Raw genomic sequence first — 15596 nt, forward strand, 5'->3', positions numbered from 1 at the left:
CAAAATATCAACATTAACGGGTTTGGAAGAAGTTGATTTCAGCCTTTATAGGTGACTTTGAGGGGTTTAAAGACTTCAGTGAAGGAAGTAACTGCTGACGTGATGGAAACGGCAAGAGAACTGTAATGATTAATGGAAGTGGAGCCTGCACATCTGACTGAATTTTCGCAATCTCATGATAAAACTTGAACACATAAGGACTCGTTCCTTATGGATGAGCAAAGAAAGTGGTTTCTTAAGGCCAGATGTGGTGGCTAACACCTGTAATCCCAGCACTTTGAGACGCTGAGGTGGTTGGATCACTGGAGGCCAGGAGTTCGAGACCAGCCTGGCCAACATGGCGAAACCCCATCTCTACTAAAAATACAAAAATTGTCGGGTATAGTGGTGCACAACTGTAATCCCAGCTACTCAGGAGGCTGAGGCAGGAGAGTGGCTTGAACCCAGGGTCAGAGGTAGCAGTGAGCTGGGGTGGCACCATTGCACTCCAGCCTGGGCGACAGAGCAAGACTCTGCCACAAAAAAAAAAAAAAAAAAAAGAAAGTATTTTATTGAGATGGAATCTACTCCTGGTGAAGATGTGAACATTGTTGAAATGACAACAAAGGATTCAGAGTATGACATAAACTTCGTTGATAAAGCAGTGGCAGGGTTTGAGAGGACTGACTCTAATTTTTAAAAAAGTTCAACTGTGGGTAAAATGCTATCAAACAGCATCTCATGCTACAGAGAAATCTTTTGTGAAAGGAGGAGTCAGTTGAAGCAGCAAACTTCGTAGCCTTATTTTAAGAAATTGGCACAGCCACCTCAACCTTCAGCGACCACCACCCTGATCAGTCAGCAGCCACTGAGGCAAGATCCTCTGTCAGCAAGAAGATTACAACTGTCTGAAGTCTCAGATGATCATTAGCTTTTTTGCCAGTAAAATATTTTTACATTAAGGTCTATAAATATTTTTAGACATAATGCTATTGCACATTCAATAGACTACAGAATAGTGCAAACATAAATTTTATATGCACTGGGAAAAAAATGTGTGACTCACTTTATTGTCATATTTGCTTTATTGTGGGGGCCTGGAACAGAATCTGCAATATCTCTGAGATATGTCTGTGGTTTTTTTTTTTTTTTTTTTTGAGAAGGAGTTTCGCTCTGTTGCTGAGGCTGGAGTGCAGTGGCATGATCTTGGCTCACTGCAACTTCTGCCTCCCAGGTTCAAGTGATTCTTCCGCTTCAGCCTCCTGAGTAACTGGGAATACAGGTGAGTGCCATCCCACCCAGCTAATTTTTATATTTTTAGTAGAGGTGGGGTTTTGTCATGTTGGCCAGGCTGGTCTCAAACTCCTGGCCTTAAGTGATCTTCCCGCCTCCGGCCTCCCAAAGTGCTGGGGATACGGGCAGTATGGAGTCTTTTCAGATTGGCTACTTTCACTCAGTGATGTGCACTTATCTTTCCTCCATGTCGTTTCATGGCTTGATAGCAATTTTTTTTTTAAGTGCTGAATAATATTCTATTGTCTGGATGTATTACATTTGTTTATCCATTCATCTACCAAAGGACATCTTGGTAGCTTCCATGTTTTGGCAATTATAAATAAAGCTGCTATAAACATTCATGTGCAGATTTTTGTATAGACATAAATTTTCAACTCTTTGGGTAAATACCAAGGAGTACAATTGCTGGATCATATGGTAAGATTATGTTTAGCTTTGTAAGAAGCTGCCAAACTGTCTTCCAAAGTGCCTGGACCATTTTGCATTTCCACCAACAATGAATGACAGTTCTTATTGCTGTACATCCTCACTGGCATTTGGTAGTGTTGTTGTTCTGAGTCTTGGCCGTTCTAATAAGTGTGTCATGGTATTTCATTGTCATGGTATTTCATGGTATTTCATGTGTATACTTGGCATTGCCCAGATGACATAAGATGTGCAGCATCTTTTCATGGTTTATCTATGATCTGTGTGTCTTCTTTGGTGAAATGTCTGTTAAGGTCTTTGGCCCATTTTAAAATTTCATTGTTTGTCTTCTTATTGAGTTTTAGGAGTTCTTTGTATATTTTAGATAATAGTTCTTTATCAGTTGTGTCTTTTGCAAATATTTTCTCTCAGTCTGTGGCTTATCTTCTCATTCTCTTGTTGTCTTTCATGCAGCCTCTGGAGTTTTTAACTTTCTGACTTGTCCACACATGAGCTTCCAGTCATGAATCAATTACACTTCAGGTGTAAAAAAATAATCTTTTTTTTTTTTTTTTGACATGGAGTTTTGCTCTTATTGCCCAGGCTGGAGTGCAATGGCGCGATCTTGGCTCCCTGCAACCTCTGCCTCCCGGGTTCAAGCGATTCTCCTGCCTCAGCCTCCTGAGTAGCTGGGATTACAGGCATGCGCCACGACGCCTGGCTAATTTTGTATTTTTAGTAGAGACGGGATTTCTCCATGTTGGTCAGGCTGGTGGCGAACTCCCAGGTGTGCCTACCCTGGCACCGGTTCCCACGGAGCTTTCTGCCCTGGTAAATTGTGATTCCGGATATTCGTCTGCTGGTCTCTCCAGGTTGGGGAGTAATGGTTTGCCCCATGACCTCTCTTGCCATAAGAATCTAAAAGAACTGTTTGGTTTTTAGTTTGGTTAGCCTTCTCCTTGTTGTTAGGATGAAGTGCTGACTCCCAAGCTTCGTGCTTGCTGGACTGGAAATTGGAAGTCTGCCTGCCAGTTTTAAGAACCTAAAAAGTGATGAACTGAAAATGTCAGGTAAAGGGATTTCTTTTCTTTTCTTTTCTTTTTTGTCATTTGGTTGGATTCTAAATATAAAATTTAGGCTTCTGGTAGAAGTTCTAAAGATGCCTGAAAGAGGATAGTTTTGACTGATATGTTTGTTGGCCACGCGTGGGAAAATGGTGTTAGTGAAAAGCACATGAATCCTGGTGCCAGCAGAAAGTGGGCATGAATTCTTCTTCCGTCAATACCCAGCTTTGTGCCCCCAGGCAAGTCACTTCACTTCTCTGAGCTTCCTTTTTTTAATCTTGGAACTAGGTATTGAGCCAGTAACCGGAAGTTGTGGTGAGGGTTAGAGGAAATTTGTATATAGAGCATTACAGAAGGCATATTCCCCGTTAGTGCATACATGATAAAAAAGAAACATCACAGAACATTATAGAAGTAAAATATTTTCTTTCCTTAAGTATGGAAAGAAACTGATGGAGTGTTTACTTAATTCTACAAGGATAAAAGAAACTATTCAAGGTTAACACAATGCAGACTGAACTGAAGAGCGTTATGTGGAAAGCAAATTTGAATAACGGAGAAAACACAACTCATTCTCACAGCTGTTGAAAGTCTCTGGGCACATTGGGTAAAGGCTAAGAGGTTAAGCTTTCCCCCTTGGAGCCTTGTGGTCATTGGGAAGATTCTCCTTTGAGGGAATCATTCTGTAACATAGTAATTGGGTAGTAAGAGAGAATTGTCTTGCTAAGAGCAGTAAAGTAAGTGGCCGAGTAGCAAATCTTCATCAGTTATCAGGTGCATCTCTTAAAAAGGCCTATGTAATACTCAGCAACAGGATCACGCTATTGTGTTTGGGAGAATAAACTTATTTCAAGCACAAAGATTCCTCCTTCCTCTTTTAAAATCTCTACTTTCTGTGCTCCTCCCCACTTTGAGGGAAGTGATACACTAAAATTAAGTGATGGCTTATTATCATGGTTAACCAGTCTGTCTTGAATTTGCAGCCTGAGCTGACCAGCGCTTATCCTCATGTGACCTTGGGTGAATTAATGGACATCTCTGAACCTCCATTTTCTCCTGTGTAAAATAGCAGCTGCAGCAAAAATGAAATATCAATAATCTCTGAAAAGAATTTAGCTCAGTGTTTGGTGAAGATTGCCTCTCCTGAAGTCTAGAAAAGGGCTGGTTTGGTATGTATTCAAAATCTAAATGTTCTTTTGAAACAGCAACTGAGAAACACTGTATTGAAATTAAAGTGGCAGTTTAGAAGAAGTTTAAAAAGCTGAGAAAGTATGGATTTTGCGATGATCAGGGGTAATCTCGCCACCTGCAAGAGAAAACAAACATCCTGCTATGTTTTTTGCTTTGCTGTAATCACTTCGACATCTAGCCCGTAAGTGAACAAAGATGGGAAAAGATTGGCAAGGATCAAAATAGAATTGGAGAAGAGTTTCAAGAAGAGGTCAATGGAGGGGGACAGCTTATCAGTTCTGGATGGAACCTGGTCATGAACACATATGGAGAAGACTGACAGGTGAATGCACAAGCAGCTCTTGCAGTTGTTCAGGCTCACATGAAGCCCTGGACAATGCTGTGCTGCTGTGGCTGCACCTGCTACCAGCCTTGACACTGCATGTTCTCTATAGAAATGCTACTGCTCTTGAAGGGGTAAAACTGGTTCTTGGGAAGACATGAGAAAATCTCACTTTAGAAAATATTAATATAGGCCGGGCACGGTGGCTCATGCCTGTAATCCCAGCACTTTGGGAGGCCGAGGCGGGCAGATCACTTGAGGTCAGGAGTTCTAGACCAGCCTGGCCAACATGGTGAAACCCCATCTCTACCAAAAATACATGTATAAAAAATTAGCCGGGTATGGTGGTGCATGCCTATAATCCCAGCTACTCGGGAGGCTGAGGCAGGAGAATCACTTGAACCCAGGAAGCGAAAGTTGCAGTGAGCTGAGATCACGCCACTGCACTCCAGCCTGGGTGACAAGACTCCATCTCAAAAAAAAAAAAAAAAATCTATCTATCTATCTATCTATCTATCTATCTATCTATCTATCTATCTGCCAGGTACAGTGGCTCACGCCTGTAATCCCAGCACTTTGGGAGGCCGAGGCAGGTGGATCACCTGAGGTCAGCAGTTCAAGACCAGCCTGGCCAACATGGTGAAACCCCGACTCTACTAAAAATACAAAAAAATTAGCCAGGCGTGGTGGTGGGCACCTGTAATCCCAGCTACTCGGGAGGCTGAGGCAGGAGAATTGCTTGAACCCAGGAGGCGGAGGTTGCAGTGAGCCGAGATCGCACCATTGCACTTGAGTCTGGGTGACAAGAGCAAAACTCCGTCTCAAAAAAAAAAAAATAATATACGTAATACACAATATATGTACCATACAAAAACAGATAACAGTATACATGTGGTATTGAAGTATCATGGGGGACAATTGAAAAAAAAAGTCTAAAAGGCTCTCCGGAGGATTACAGGTGAAAACAGCTCTGAGAAGCACTAACTCACACCACTAGAACGGGGCAGACGGAACATGGCAGAAGGGCAGGGGCCCGATACAGGACCTCAAGGAAGAAAGGAACTTGGGAGGACAGGGAGGTGGCGGTGGGCCTTGGGAATAGGGATTTTGTGAGTTTGGCAAGTGGGAGATTCCCCTTGAGGTAGCAACGCAACCCTCTTGCTTCTTCCTCCTCTCAGTTTGGAAGGCTGTGCCACGTGGCAAGAAGAGAATAAACATCTTGGGAATTCTGGCTGTGCTGTACATTTGCTGTGTGGCCTTCGGCAAGCTACTGACTTCTCTGAACTCAGGATCTACAAACTGAGGATAAGCAACAGGAGAATCTCTGTGAAGTACTTTAAAAACAGGAGATGTTTGGTAAATGTGCAGTCACGTTCATGACTCTTCAAATTTCTTTTGAAATTTCTGAAAATGCCTGGTGCGGTGGCTCATGCCTGTAACCCCAGCACTTTGGGAGGCTGAGGCGGGTAGATCATGAGGTCAGGAGTTCAAGACCAGCACGGCCAAGATGGTGAAACCCCGTCTCTACTAAAAATACAAAAAAATTAGCTGGGCGTGGTGGTGCGTGCCTGTAATCCCAGCTACTCAGGAGGCTGAGGCAGAGAATTGCTTGAACCTGGGAGGCAGAGGTTGCTGTGAGCCCAGATCGCACCACTGCACTCCAGCCTGGGCGACAGAGTGAAATCCGTCTCAAAAAATAAAAAAAATTAAAAAAAAGAAATTTCTGAAAATACGTATATGGGGGATTAATTGCACATGTGGTGTTGTACATCCATTATTCTATTTAATCCTTACACCAGCCCTATGAAGTGTCTATGATTAGTGTTATTGCCCTTTTACTAATAATAAACTCAAGCTCTGGAGGGTTAAGTGTAAGTGGTTCAAGCTCATATAGTGCCAGAGAGTAAAGATGTAAATTCCCCCACCCCATCAGCAGAGAGCCCCGTGCTCGTTACCACCATATTATTCGTGAACATTTCACATCAGCTGGGACTTTTTGCCCAGGAAATTACACATCTGTGCACAATTTTGCATACCATTGCAGAAGACTGAGTCTATCCCAAACTCCTTGTTCTAAAGTAGAAGTTTCAACAAGGGACTGTAACTTCCTCCTGAAACACAGTTTGGGAATTGGTAGAGGTGCTTTGGATGAACACATCAGTGTAGTACTAACATGTGCTGGCATACACAGCAGGGATGATGGGTTGGATGTATTTTTTGAAATGTATTTTTAAATTTACATACAGTAAAATTCACTCTTTTTGGCGTACAGCACAATAAGTTTTGACACAGTATAGTAATTTGTTTGTTTTTTGAGAGACGGAGTCTTGCTCTGTTGCCCAGACTGGAGTGCAGTGGCACGATTGCAGTTTACTCCAACCTCTGCCTCCCAGGTTCAAGCAATTCTCGCGTCTCAGCCTCCCGAGTAGCTGGGACTATAGGTGCGTGCCACCACGTCTGGCTAATTTTTGTATTTTTAGTAGAGACAAGGTTTCACCTTGTTGGCCAGGCTGGTCTCGAACTCCTGACCTCAAGTTATCCTCTTGCCTTGGCCTCCCAAAGTGCTGGGATTACAGATGTGAGCCATAGCACCCGGCCTAAATCTTTTCCCCGTTAAAAAAATGGGTAATTTCTTTTTCTTTTCTTTTTCTTTTTTTTGAAACGGAGTTTTGCTCTTGTTGCCCAGGCTGGAGTGCAATGGCACAATCTCGGCTCACTGCAACCTCCGTCTCCTGGATTCAAGCGATTCTCCTGCCTCAGCCTCCCAAGTACCTGGGATTACAGGCATGCGCCACCACACCTGGCTAATTTTGTATTTTTAGCAGAGATGGGATTTCACCATGTTGACCAGGCTGGTCTTGAACACCTGACCTCAGGTGATGCGCCCGTCTTGGCCTCCCAAAGTGGTGGGATTACAGGTGTGTGCCACCGTGCCTGGCCGGTTTATTTTCTTATTTTTGAATTTTGAGAGTTTAAAAACCATATTATCAAAAACCTTTGTCGAATATATGATTTGCAAATTTTTTTTCTAGTCTGTAGCTTGTCTTTTCATTCTCTTAACAGTGTTTTTTCAGAGTGAATTTTGATAAAGTCTATTTTATCAAAACTTTCCTCTATGTATTGTGGTTTTGCTGTTGTAGCTAATGTTTTCAAACACCATAAGCCAACCAAAATACAACTAGGGGTCATATTTGCCCTGTGGGTAATCCATATTTAGGTAGGATTTTTAGGCTAGAAGGAACTTTAGGAGACATGGAAGACAGAAACATGTGCCTCTTGTATTTCCTGCAGCAGGGACTGTAATTGACCGAGGGCCCTGCGATGCTGTGATCTGAAAGCTATTATCATATTTGTGCCAAGGTTACATTTCCCGTGGGCTGCTCCTTGCCCACGACTGCATGCGACAGGGATACTAAGGCAGGCTTGTTCCTGGGGGACATGAGACTCCTCTGATACATAACTTTGGCTTTTTCAAAACTTTCTCAGAACTGCACCACCCTCTCAGACTTTCCCTACCAACCCGTCCTTTTTCCCCTTCTTCCTCTGCGGGGGTTAGGGCAGCATTGTGGGAAATCTCCTTCCCCTTCTCCCTCCAGCTGTTTCTTCCAGGAAATGTGAGGCATGCTTTTTCCACTTTGCAGTCTGATAGTCTGCACCTCAAAGGAACCAAACGAATGCAGAGGATCCCCTGCCACAGGAATCACTGTCTCCAATGCCATGCCTGGCAGGTAATGTACATGAGTAAACAGGGTCAGGTGAGGACTGAGGTGAACTGAAAATTCCATGCCCTATTTTATGAGGACAGCTTCTACCTAGTTCTAACAGGCTGTTATCAAGATGAAATGTGAGCCCACAGTTGAATGCCACTAGATATTTAAAGAGAAAAGCTACAAAATTTTTACAATTTCTTTTTTTTTTTTGAGATGGAATCTCGCTCTGTCGCCAGGCTGGAGTGCCGTGGTGCAATCTCGGCTCACTGCAATCTCTGCCTCCTGGGTTCAAGCGATTCTCCTGCCTCAGCCTCCCGAGTAGCTGGGACTACAGGCGCACACCACCACACCCAGCTAATTTTTTGTATTTTTAGTAGAGATGAGGTTTCGCCATGTTGGCCAGGCTGGTCTCGAACTCCTGGCCGCAAGTGATCCGTCCACCTCGGCCTCCCAAAGTACTGGGATTACAGATGTAAGCCACCACGCCCGGCAATTTTTACAATTTCTAATTCAACCCTGTCATTTGTCAGAAGGAGACAGCAAGACAGAGAAAGGAAGTGCTTTTCCTAAGATCATCTGAATAGAAGGTGCAAAGTGTGGCTGGAATCCAGAGATGCCACCTCCTGATCCAGCTCTTTCCTTTCTTCCTCTCTATTCATTATTGATTGACTATCTGGGTTTGTATTTGCTGTGTCACAAGTTATCTAAACATTTAGCATCTTATAATAAGACATATTTATTGTCTCATAGTTTCTGTTTGTCAGAATCAGCCCTTGCTTCAGGGTCTCAGACAAATCGGCATTCAAGATGTCAGCCTATGCTGGGATTTCATGTAAAGACTCTACATGGGAAGAAGCTGTGTCCAGGCTCAGGCGGTTATTGGGAGGATTCAGTTCCCTGAGGGCTGTTAGATTGAGGACCTGAGATCTTTTCTCACTATTGGTCAGAGGCCACCCTCCATTCCTTGCCACCTGGGGCATTCCAGATGGCAACTTACTTCATCGAAGTGTGCAAGCTGAGAAGGCCACAGAGAGAGTCTGCTAGCAAGACGAAAGTCACAATCTTTTGCAACCCAATCGTGGAAATGACATCCCATCCCCTTTGCTCTATTCTATTTGTTAGGAAGTCACTAGGTCCAGCCCACACTCAAGGGCCTACACTACAGGGACATGGGGATAGGGTGGGGACCATGGGGCTGGGCTAGAATTCTGCCTACCACAAGGCCTTTTTTTTGAAAATGGAAAATTCTCAGTTGTGCTTGATCTTTCTCTTCTAAACCAGGAAACCACTTTTCATGGGAGAGGTCAGGGATCTATTAAGACAGAAACAAGAGGGGAGGGGAGGGGAGGGGAGGGGAAGGGAGGAGGGAGGGAGGGGAAGGGAGGAGGGAGGGAGGGAGGGAGGAAGGAAGGAAGGAAGGAAGGAAGGAAGGAAGGAAGGAAGGAAGGAAGGAAGGAAGGAAGGAAAGAAAGAAAGAAAATTGGAAAGGCTCCTCCTCTCCCTCTCCCTCTCCCCACGGTCTCCCTCTCCCCACGGTCTCCCTCTCCCTCTCTTTCCACGGTCTCCCCCTCCCTCTCTTTCCACGGTCTCCCCCTGATGCCGAGCCAAAGCTGGACTGTACTGCTGCCATCTCGGCTCACTGCAACCTCCCTGCCTGATTCTCCTGCCTCAGCCTGCCGAGTGCCTGCGATTGCAGGCGCGCGCCGCCACGACTGCCTGGTTTTCGTATTTTTTTGGTGGAGACGGGGTTTCGCTGTGTTGGCCGGGCTGGTCTCCAGCTCCTAACCGCGAGTGATCCGCCAGCCTCGGCCTCCCGAGGTGCCGGGATGGCAGACGGAGTCGCGTTCACTCAGTGCTCAATGGTGCCCAGGCTGGAGTGCAGTGGCGTGATCTCGGCTACAACCTCCACCTCCCAGCCGCCTGCCTTGGCCCCGCAAAGTGCGGAGATTGCAGCCTCTGCCCGGCGGCCACCCCGTCTGGGAAGTGAGGAGCGTCTCTGCCTGGCCGCCCATCGTCTGGGATGTGAGGAGCCTCTGCCTGGCTGCCCAGTCTGGAAAGTGAGGAGCGTCTCTGCCCGGCCGCCATCCCATCTAGGAAGTGAGGAGTGTCTCTGCCAGGCCGCCCATCGTCTGAGATGTGGGGAGCGCCTCTGCCCTGCCGCCCCGTCTGGGATGTGAGGAGCGTCTCTGCCCGGCCGCCTCGTCTGAGAAGTGAGGAGACCCTCCGCCCGGCAGCCACTCCGTCTGGGAAGTGAGGAGCCCCTCCGCCCGGCAGCCACTCCGTCTGGGAAGTGAGGAGCGTCTCCACCCGGCAGCCACCCCGTCTGGGAGGGAGGTGGGGGTCAGCCCCCCGCCCGGCCAGCCGCCCTGTCCGGGAGGTGAGGGGCGCCTCTGCCCGGCCGCCCCTACTGGGAAGTGAGGAGCCCCTCTGCCCGGCCACCACCCCATCTGGGAGGTGTACTCAACAGCTCATTGAGAACGGGCCATGATGACAATGGTGGTTTTGTGGAATAGAAAGGGGGGAAAGGTGGGGAAAAGATTGAGAAATCGGATGGTTGCCATGTCTGTGTAGAAAGAGGTAGACATGGGAGACTTTTCATTTTGTTCTGTACTAAGAAAAATTCTTCTGCCTTGGGATTCTGTTGATCTGTGACCTTACCCCCAACCCTGTGCTCTCTGAAACATGTGCTGTGTCCACTCAGGGTTGAATGGATTAAGGGTGGTGCAAGATGTGCTTTGTTAAACAGATGCTTGAAGGCAGCATGCTCGTTAAGAGTCATCACCACTCCCTAATCTCAAGTACCCAGGGACACAAACACTGCGGAAGGCCGCAGGGTCCTCTGCCTAGGAAAACCAGAGACCTTTGGTCACTTAACTGCTGACCTTCCCTCCACTATTGTCCTGTGACCCTGCCAAATCCCCCTCTGCGAGAAACACCCAAGAATGATCAATAAAAAAAAAAAAGAGAAAGAAAAAAAAAAAGACAGAAACAAGTGCTGGTATAACTGCAGAAAGAGATAGAGAAGAGAGATCAGTGAGAGCAAGAAGGAAAAAAAATTGCAGCGGATAGTGTGAGGGGAGCAAAAGGAAGCTCCAAGCCAGGACAGCAAAACCCTCTGTTCTCCTTTTCAGATGATTTCACTGTGCTCTCTTTTCTTTCTTTTTTTCTTTCTTTTTTTTTAGATGGAGTCTCACTCTGTCACCCAGGCTGGAGTGCAGTGGCATGATCTCAGCTCACTGCAACCTCTGTCTCCCAGGTTCAAGCGATTCTTCTGCCTCAGCCTTCCGAGTACCTGGGATTACAGGCGTGAGCCACCATGCCTGGCTAATTTTTGTATTTTTTAGTAGAGACAGGGTTTTGCCATGTTGGCCATGCTGGTTTCGAACTCCCGATCTCAGGTGATCTGCCCGCCTTGCCCTTCCAAAGTGCTGGGATTACAGGCGTGAGCCACTGCGCCCGGCCTGTTCTCTTTTCATTTTGTACTTGCCACAGGTGTGAAAAACTGACAGATTGTTCTTAGCAAAGTTCAGACATGGCTTTTGCAGAGATTATTTGCTCTTTTGATGATTACGTATTTCTTCTTCCACTACTGATAGTGTATGTAGTTGTCAAGGGAGAATACCCAGATCAAAACAAAGGAAACTGATTCCTTTGCACATAGGGAGGAAGTTGTAACTGCCCAATGGGTTCTCCTTCCTCATTGCCTAGACAGACCTGATTTATCAAAACGGGAATTTCAATACAGAAAGAGTTTAATTCATGCAGAGCTGGCTGTACAGGAGGCCAGAGTTTTGTTGTTACTCAAATCAGTCTCCCCGAAAACTCAGGGATCGGGGTTTTTACGGATAATTTGGTGGGTAGGAGGTTGAAAGACGGGGAGTGCTGATTGGTCAGGCCGGAGATGAAATCCTAGGGAGTCGAGGGGGTCCTCTTGTACTGAGTCAGTTTCTAGGTAGGAGCCATAGGACCAAATGAGCCAGTCTATCCAGGGCTGTGCTAGCGGATTCACTGAGTACAGGGTCTGAAAATATCTCAAGCACTGATCTTCGCTTTTACAATAGCAGTGTTATCCCCAGAAGCAATTTGGGGAGGTTCAGAACCTCGCAGCCTCCAGCTGCACAGCTTCTAAACCATAATTTTTAATTTTGTAGCTAATTTGTTAGTCCTGCAAAGGCAGTGTAGTCCCAGTCAGGAAGAGGGTTTTTGTTACAGTCTTTCTTTCAAAGTGAAACTATCAACTAAGTTCCTCCCAAAGTTAGTTTGGTATCCACCCAGGAATGAACAAGGACAGCTTGGAGGTTAAAAGCAAGATGGAGTCAGTTAGATCAGATCTTGTTCACTGATACAGTTTTCTCCATTGTAATTTTTGCAAAGGTGGTTTCAAAGTGTGGAAAAATATTAAATGAATAACTGTTAATATTTTTAAAGGGCTGGACAGCCTTGTCCCATTGAATGCTCAGAACAACCCTGTGAGATTGATATTAGTATTGCCCCCATTTTACAGAGGAAGAAATTGAGGCTCAGGGCGATTATGAAACTTGCCTAACTGAGGTCACAGCCAGATGGTGCTGGAGCAGGAATTGCTTCATATTTGTTTTACTCCAATAACCATCACCAGAGCATTACCCAAACTTCATTCACTCATGTATAAACTGTCATAGTTGTTGTCATATCTAATATCGCTTATCCTACTGTCACATATTTGTATCATATATGGGAACATTTTACCACTCTCTCCCTATAACATGCAGTGGTCCAGGCTCTGAACTGCTGAACTGAACTGAGTTCAATTCTGATTCTACCACAAGCTGGACCATCTGGGCAAGCTACTTAACCTCTCTGTGAGCTGCAGTTTTCCCATCTCTAAAATGGAGCACATGGCTCAGTTTGCCGGCTAGTAGAGAGACTAAGTAATATGATAGAAATAAATTACCAGGTACATTGTAGGTGCTCCATAAATACTTTGTTGGAAGGACCCTCAAAAAGTAGAATTTCTATTTAATTAGCTCTTCTAAATGACATATCCATAGTTAACATATTTCCAACACCATCATCAATATTAATGAATTTCTTAGCTTCCCAGGACTTCCCAGAAATGTCCAATTAAGTACTTGTTAAAAATGGAATGAAAATTTAATATCCCATAGTTTGAGGCAATATCAAAAAGCCTTGTTAGTCTATTTGGATCATATCAAGGAAACTAGATAAATATATTTGCTTATATTTGCTATAGTTTTGTGTGTGTGTGTTTGCTTACTTGTGGAAACCATAATGACCAATATTATACCATGGCTGAGAGTGTAGATTTGGAGGTTTTAATTTCTGATCCCTCAGTTCATTGACTTTGTGACACTGATTATCTAATAGTTCTCTGTCTCAATTTCATTAGATAAGTTGGGAAGGCTTTCAGCTGTAAGTAGTAACCACCATAACAAAAAGCCAACAGAGGCTGAAACAAAGAGGTTACAATTTTTCCTCACTTTAAAGGATGCAGAGGTAGCAATGTGCTTCTGTAGCTCAAGAATGTCAGTGCTTTGTGGTTCACCTAGTCTTTCCTTATGGTCACAGGATGCCTAACCCAGTTCACTTTTATGGCAGGGAAAAGAGAAACAAGTAGAACCACTGACATCTAATCATTTGCAAGACAACAAACCCCTGCCCAGAAACTTTCCAGCCGTCTCTTCTGTTCGGGCTTCACTGGCCTGAATTGTGCCATAAGGCCAAGTTGCAAGGGAGCCTGGGAGGGGCTCCAGAGTGGAAGTGGCCGAGGAACAGGGAGCTGTCGTGAGGATGAACTGAGATAATGCTTATAAAGGGCTTGGCACTGTGCCGGACTGTAACAAGCACTTCATACTTACAATGATTGGCATTTTCATAATCGGGCTGTTTGAACTGGAACAGGGAAACTCAGCCCTGATTCCAGTGTTCTGCAGGGAGTGAGTGTTAGACGCAGGGCAAAAACCTGATTTTCTGCCATACTGGATGACAATATTATAACATGACTGAGAGCATAGATTTGGGGGTTTTAATTTCTGATCACTTAATTCACTGACTTTGTGACATTGATTATCTAATAGTTCTCTAATAGCTCCCCTCCATGAGGGGCGGGTTTATGTCTTTCTTGTCAATTAGCCCAGCTCAGTGCCTAAAAGTAGATAAACATATGGTGCTGCTGAATAAATATTTGATAAATGAATACATACGTAAAGATAATTTGATACATTTATTTTTTTTAATTTTTTTATTTCCATAGGTTTTTTTTGGGTAACAGGTGGTGTTTGGTTACATGAGTAAGTTCTCGAGTGGTGATTTGTGAGATTTTGGTGCACCCATCACCAGAGCAGTATACACAGAACCCAGTTTGTATTCTTTTATCCCTCACCCGCTTCCCACCCTCGCTCCCTGAGTCTCCAAAGTCCATTGTGTCATTCTTATGCCTTTGCATCCTCATAGCTTAGCTCCCACTTATGAGTGAGAACATACAATGTTTGGTTTTCCATTCCTGACTTACTTCACTTAGAATAATAGTCTCCAATCTCATCCAGGTTGCTGCAAATGCCATTAATTCATTTCTTTTTATGGCTGAGTAGTATTCTATCATATATATGAGATATATATTGATATACATGATATATAGATATATATGATACATATGATATATATTGATATATGATATATAGATATATATGATACATGGATATATGATATATATTGATATGTATACCACGTATATATGTGTGTGTATATATGTATACATGCCACAGTTTCTTTATCCACTCATTAATTAATGGGCATTTGGGTTGGTTCCACAGTTTTGCAGTTGCGAATTGAGCTGCTATAAACGTGTGTGCATGTATCTTTTTTGTATAATGACTTCTTTTCCTTTTTTTTCTTTGAGACAGAGTCTTGCTCTGTTGCCCAGGCTGGAGTGCAGTGGCTCAATCTCAGCTCACTGCAACCTCCGCCCCAGGTTCAAGCGATTCTCCTGTCTCAGCCTCCCAAGTAGCTGGGATTACAGGTGTCCTATCACCATGCCCGGCTAATTTTGGTATCATGACTTCTTTTCCTCTGGGTAGATACCCAGTAGTGGGATTGCTGGGTCAAGTGGTAGGATAATTTGGTGCATTTCTTAAAGTTTTTACTGTTCACCATTCTCAAAAGCCATTTATTCGTTGTCTATTTAATAAACTTCAGAATATAAGAATCATAAAACTGGAACTTTTGTAAGTATATTAATTATCTCTTGCTGTGTAACAAATTTTCCCTAAACGTACTCGCTTAAAATATGGACATTTAAAAACTTTTTTTTTCTATTTATTAAAATAAAATATTGTCTCAAGGGCCAGCTAGAAAAATAATGGACATTTCTTAGCTCACGGTTTCTGAGGTCAGCAATCCTACAGCAGTTTGGATGGATGGTTCTGGCTCAGGGCCTCTTGTGAATAGTCAAGATGCAGTCAAGATGTTGTTCTGGGCTGTAGGCACCTAAAAGCTTGACTGGAGTTGGATAACATGCTTCTGAGCAGGCTCACGCACGTGGCTGTTGGCTGGAGGCCTCTGTTCCTCACTATGCAGACCTTCCCATAGGGAAGCTTGAGTTCTCATGTCGCAGCAGCTGGGTTCCTAAGA

General features: G+C 44.4%; 1 long non-coding RNA gene across 4 annotated transcripts, besides 1 other annotated feature; it reads left to right on the plus strand.

The window, feature by feature from the left end:
- Positions 1 to 1187: 1187 nt before the first annotated feature.
- On the plus strand, positions 1188 to 9410 carry LOC124904934 (uncharacterized). 4 transcript variants are annotated; one of them, XR_007067663.1, is made up of 5 exons: positions 1220 to 1261; positions 2623 to 2750; positions 3728 to 3913; positions 5436 to 5613; positions 7899 to 8191. It is a non-coding gene; the product is annotated as an uncharacterized LOC124904934 (long non-coding RNA). The 4 variants fall into 4 exon arrangements; XR_007067662.1 differs by having other exon boundaries at positions 2650 to 2750; XR_007067664.1 differs by lacking the exon at positions 2623 to 2750 and having other exon boundaries at positions 1188 to 1261; positions 7899 to 9410.
- Positions 3019 to 3078: a silencer, noted in NCBI's record as "silent region_13052". NCBI's record gives its function as "represses an Ori minimal core promoter by ATAC-STARR-seq in GM12878 lymphoblastoid cells {active_cell/tissue: GM12878}" and the evidence as "EXISTENCE:reporter gene assay evidence [ECO:0000049][PMID:35858748]".
- Positions 9411 to 15596: the final 6186 nt, after the last annotated feature.

This window comes from Homo sapiens, chromosome 20 (assembly GCF_000001405.40).
Source record: "Homo sapiens chromosome 20, GRCh38.p14 Primary Assembly".
In the NCBI taxonomy this organism is placed as follows: Eukaryota; Metazoa; Chordata; class Mammalia; order Primates; family Hominidae; genus Homo; species Homo sapiens.